The following is a 6,263-nucleotide window of genomic DNA, read 5'->3' as shown; positions in this document are numbered from 1 at the left end:
AAATAGCACCTTTTGATACTGCCTACAGGTTGCCTATAGCAATCACTCAGTTGATTCCAACACATGTATTCTCACTTGTCTTCCTTCCTCTTCTTGCCTCCTCCAACCCATTCTCCACATTCCTTGCAGAGAAGTCTTTCCTAAAAGTAAATCTAGGTAATCCTAGCTGCTACAACATAAACCTGCAGTCTCAATAGTGTAACACAATGGAAATCTATTTCTTGCTCACATAAAATAAAAAATAAAAAATGAGGTGTCCAGTATGCAGAGCTGATGTATATATATATATATATCTCACAGTTTCTTTACCCATTCATTGACTGATGGGCATTTGGGTTGGTTCCAGGATTTTTGCAATTGTGAATTGTGCTACTATAAACATGCATGTACAAGTATCTTTTTTGAATAATGAGTTCTTTTCCTCTGAGTAGAGGGAATCCCATTACCCAGTAGTGGGATTGCTGGATCAAATGGTAGTTCTACCTTAAGTTATTTAAGGAATCTCCACACTGTTTTCCATAGCGGATGTACTAGTTTACATTCCCATCAGCAGTGTAGAAGTGTTCGCTGATCACTGCAGTGTTCCCTGATCACCGCATCCATGCCAACATCTAATGTCTTTTTGATTTTTTGATTATGGCCATTCTTGCAGGAATAAGGTGGTATCACATTGTGGTTTTGATTTGCATTTTCCTGATCATTAGTGATCTTGAACATTTTTTCTTTCTTTTTTTTTTTTTTTTTTTTGAGATGGAGTTTTGCTCTGTCACCCAGATTGGAGTGCAGTGGCGCGATCTCCACTCATTGCAACATCCGCCTCCCAGGTTCAAGCGATTCTCCTGCCTCAGCCTCCTGAGTAGCTGGGATTACAAGCACATGCCACCACACACGGCTAATTTTTGTATTTTTAATAGAGACGGGGTTTCACCATGTTGGTCAGGCTGGTCTCGGACTCCTGACCTCATGATCTGCCTGCCTTGCCCTCCCAAAGTGCTGGGATTACAGGCATGAGCCACTGCGATTGGCCTTGAGAAATGTCTATTCATGCCAGCCCAATTTTTGATGGGACTGTTTCTTTTTTTCTTGCTAATTTGTTTGAGTTTCTTCTAGATTCTGGATATTAGTCCCTTGTCAGATGTATGGATTGTGAAGATTTTCTCCCACTCTGTGTGTTGTCTGTTTACTCTGTTGACTGTTCCTTTTGCTGTGCAAAAGCTCTTTAGTTTAATTAGGTCCCAGCTATTTATGTTTGTTTTTATTGCATTTGCTTCTGGGTTCTTGGTCATGAAATCCTTGCCTAAGCCAATGTGTTGAAGGATTTTTCCAATATCATCTTCTAGAATTTTTATAGTTTCAGGTCTTAGGTTTAAGTCCTTAATCCATCTTGAGTTGATTTTTGTATAAGGTGAGAGATGAGGATCCAATTTCATTCTCCTACATGTGGCTAGCCAATTATCCCAGCACCATTTGTTGAAAAGGGTGTCCTTTCCCCCACTTTATGTTTTTGTTTGCTTTGTCGAATATCAGTTGGCTGTAAGTATTTGAGTTTATTTCTGGGTTCTCTATTCTGTCCATTGGTCTATGTGCCTATTTTTATACCAGTACCATGCTGTTTTGTTGACTACAGCCTTATAGTATAGTTTGAAATCAGGTAATGTGATGCCTCCAGATTTGTTCTTTTTGCTTAGTCTTGCTTTGGCTATGTGGGCTCTTTTTTGGTTCCATATGAATTTTAGAATTGTTTTTTCTAACTCTGTGAAGAATGATGGTGGTATTTTGATGGGGATTGCATTGAATTTGTAGATTGCTTTTGGCAGTATGGTCATTTTCACAATATTGATTCTACCCATCTATGAGCATGGGATGTGTTTCTATTTGTTTGTGTCATCTATGATTTCTTTCAGCAGTTTTTTTTAGTTTTCCTTGTAGAGAGGTCTTTCAACTCCTTTGTTAGGTATAGTCCTAAGGTTTTTGTTTGTTTGTTTGTGTTTTTTTGCAACTATTGTAAAAGGGGTTGAATTTTTTATTTGATTCTCTGCTTGGTTGCTGTTGGTGTATAGAAGAGCTACTGACTTGTATACATTAATCACATATCCGGAAATATTGCTGAATTATTTTACCAGTTCTAGGAGCTTTCTGGAGGAGTCCTTCGGGTTTTCAAGGTAAATGATCATATTGTCAACAAACAGTGACAGTTTCACTTCCTCTTTTTGATTTGATTTGATTCTCTGCTTGGTCGCTGTTGGTGTATAGAAGAGCTACTGATTTGTGTACATTAATCTCATATCTAGAAACACTGCTAAATTATTTTATCAGTTCTAGGAGCTTTCTGGAGGAGTCCTTAGGGTTTTGAAGGTAAACAATCATTTCATCAGCAAACAGTGAGTTTAACTTCCTCTTTACCGATTTGGATGTCCTTGATTTCTTTCTTTTGTCTGATTGCTCTGGCTAGGACTGCCAGTACTATGTTGAGGAGGAGTACTAAGAGTGGGCATCCTTGTCTTGTTCCCATTCTCAGAGGGAATGCTTTCAACTTTTCCCCATTCAGTATTATGTTGGCTGTGGGTTTGTCATAGATGGCTTTTGTTACATTAAGGTATGTCCTTTGTATGCCGATTTTGCTGAGGGTTTTAATCATAAAGCGATGCTGGATTTTGTCAAATGCTTTTTCTGCATCTATTGAGATGATCATGTGAACTTTGTTTTTAGTTATGTTTATGTGATGTATCACATTTATTGACTTGTGTATGTTAAACCATCCCTGCATCCCTGATATGAAACCCACTTGATCATGGTGGATTATCTTTTTGATATGTTGTTGTATTCAGTTAGCTGGTATTTTGTTAAGGATTTTAGCTCTATGTTCATCAGGGATATCAGTCTGTAGTTTTCTTTTTTGGTTGTGTCCTTTCCTGGTTTTGCTATTAGGGTGATGTTGGCTTTGTAGAATGAATTAGGGAGGGTTCCTTCTTTCTATTTTGTGCAATAGTGTCAAAAGGATTGGTACCAATTCTTCTTTGAATGTCTGGTAGAATTCTGCTGTGAATCTCTCTGGTCCTGGACTTTATTTGTCGGTAATTTTAAAATTACCATTTCAATCTTGCTGCTTGTTATTGGTCTGTTCAGGGTATCTAATTCTTCCTGATTTAAGCTAGGACGGTTATATTTTTTCCAGGAATTTATCCATCTCTGCTAGGTTTTCTAGTTTATGTGCGTAAATGTGTTTGTAATAGCCTTGAATGATCCTTTGAATTTCAGTTGTGCCAGTTGTAATGTCTCCTGTTTCATTTCATAGTGAGGGTATTTGGATTTTCTATCTTCTTTTCTTGGTTAATCTTGCTAATGGCCTATCAATTTTATTTATCTTTCCAAAGAACCAGCTGTTTGTTTCATTTATCTTTTGTATTTTATTTTTTGTTTCAATTTCATTTAGTTCTGCTCTAATCTTGGTTATTTCCTTTCTTTTGCTGGTGTTTGGGTTTGGTTTGTTCTTGTTTCTCTAGTTCCTTGAGGTGTGACCTTAGATCATTTATTTGTGCTCTTTCAGGCTTTTTGATGTGGGCGTTTAGGGCTATGGTCTTAGCACCACCTTAGCTGTATCCTAGAGGTTTTGAAAGGTTGTGTCATTATTGTCGTTCAGTTTGAAGAATTTTTTAATTTCCATCTTGATTTTGTTTTTGACCCAATATTCATTCAGGAGCAGGTTATTTAATTTCCATGTATTTGCATGGTTTTGAAGGTTCCTTTTGGAGTCGATTTCCAGTTTTATTCCACTGTGGTGTGAGAGAGTGCTTGATATAATTTCAACTTTCTTAAATTTATTGAGGTTTATTTTATTGCCTATCATATGGTCTATCTGGGAGAAAGTTCCACGCGCTGTTGAATAGAACGTGTATTCTGCGGTTGTTGGATGAAATGTTCCATATATATCTGTTAAGTCCATTTGTTCCAAGGTATAGTTTAAATCCATTGTTTTTTTTTGTTGGTTTTCTGTCTTGATGACCTGTCTAGTGCTGTCAGTGAAGTATTGAAGCCCTCACTATTATTGTGTTGCGGTCTATCTCATTTCTTAGGTCTATTGTTTTATAAATTTTATAAAATTGTTTTATAAATTTTGGAGCTCCAGTGTTAGATGCATACATGTTTAGGATTGTGATATTTTCCTGTTAGACAGGGACTTTTACCATTATATACCATCCCTCTTTGTCTGTTTTAACCACTGTTGCTTTAAAGTTTGTTTTGTCTGATATAAGAATTGCTACCCCTGCTCACTTTTGGTGTCCATTTGCATGAAATGCCTATTTCTGCCTCCTTTAAGTGAGTCCTTACGTGTTAGGTGAGTCTCCTGAAGGCAGCAGATAGTTGGTTGGTGAGTTCTTATCTGTTCTGCAGTTCTGTATATTTTAAGTGGAGCATTTAGGCCATTTACATTCAATGATAGTACTGAAATGTGACGTACCATTGCATTCATCACGCGCTTTGTTGCCTCTGTAATTTTTTTTTTTTCATTTTGGTGTTTTTGCTTTTTAACTTGTATGTTTGTTTTATAGGTCCTCTGTGATTTATGCTTTAAAGAGGTTCTGTTCTGATGTGTTTCCAGGATTTGTTTCAAGATTTAGAGCTCCTTTTAGCAGTTCTTGTAGCGGTGGCTTGGTAATGGCAAATTCTCCCAGGATTTGTTTGTCTGAAAATGACTGTCTCTTTCCTTCATATATAATGCTTAGTTTCGATGGATTCAAAATTCTTGGCTGATCATTGTTTTGTTTGAGGAGGCTGAAGATAGGTCCCCAATCCTTTCTAGCTTGTAGGGTTTCTGCTGAGAAATCTGCGTTAATCTGATAGGTTGCCTTTATAGGTTACCTGGTGCTTCTGTCTCATAGCTCTTAAGATTCTTTCCTTCGTCTTAATTTTGCATAATCTAATGAAAATGTGCCTAGGCAATGATCTTTTTGCAGTGAATTTCCCAGGTGTTCTTTGTGCTTCTTGTATTTGCATGTCTAGGTCTCTCAAAAGGCTGGGGAAGTTTTCCTTGATTATTCCCCTGAATATGTTTTCCAAGCTTTTATAATTGTCTTTTTCCTCAGGAATACAGATTATTCTTAGGTTTGGTCATTTAACATAATCCCAGACTTCTTGGAGGCTTTGTTCATATTTTCTTATTGTTTTTTCTTTGTCTTTGTTGGATTGGGTTAACTTGAAGACCTTGTCTTTGAGCTCTGAATTTCTTTCCTCTACTTGTTCAGTTCTATTGGTGAGACTTTCCAGAGCATTTCGCATTTCTAAAAGTGTGTCCAAAGTTTCCTGAATTTTTTTATTGTTTTTTCTTTAAGCTATCTATTTCCTTCAGTATTTGGATTTCCTTGCATTGGGCTTTGCCTTTCTCTGGTCCCTCCCTGATTTAACTTAATAACTGACCTCCTCAATTCTTTTTCAGGTAAATCAGGTATTTCTTCTTGGTTTGGATGCATTGGTGGTGAACTAGTGTGATTCTGGGGGGGCACGGGGTCTTGATGAGCTTTGTTTTGTCATATTGCCAGGGTTGGTTTTCTGGTTCCTTCTCATTTGGGTAGGCTCTGTCAGAAGGAAAGTCTAGGGCTGACAGCTATTGTTTATATTTTTTTGTCCCATGGGGTGTTCCTTTGATGTAGTACTCTCCAGCTTTTCCTGTGGATGTGGCTTCTTGTGAGCTGAACTACAGTGATTGTTGTCTCTCTTCTGGGTCTAGCCACCCAGCGAGTCTAACTGGCTCCGGGCTGGTACTGGGGTTGTCTGTACAGATTCCTGTGATGTTAACCTATGGGTTAATCTATGAGTTAATCTATGGGTTAATCTATGTGATGTTAATCTATGGGTTTTTCAGCTGTGGATACCAGCACATGTTCTGGTGGAGGTGGCAGAGGGTGCAATGGACTCCATGAGGGTCCTTAACTTTGGGGTTTAATGCTCTATTTTTGTGCTGGTTGGCCTCCTACCAGGAGGTAGTGATTTCTAGAAAGCATCAGCTGTAGTAGTGTGGAAAGGGACCAGTGGTGGGCAGGGCCCTAGAACTCCCAAGATTATATGTCCTGTGTCTTCCACTAACAGGGTGGGTAGGGAAGGACCAGCAGGTGGGGGCGGGGTTAGTCGTGTCTGAGCTCAGACTCTCCTGGGGCAGGTCTTGCTGTGGCTGCTGTGGGGAATGGGGGTGAGATTCCCAGGTCACTGGAATTGCGTAAATAGTAGGATTATGGTTCCCTCTGCTGAGTCATGCAGGGGTCAGGGAA

Source organism: Homo sapiens, chromosome 6 (assembly GCF_000001405.40).
Source record: "Homo sapiens chromosome 6, GRCh38.p14 Primary Assembly".
Lineage (NCBI taxonomy): Eukaryota > Metazoa > Chordata > Mammalia > Primates > Hominidae > Homo > Homo sapiens.
This window is presented reverse-complemented; position numbering follows the sequence as displayed.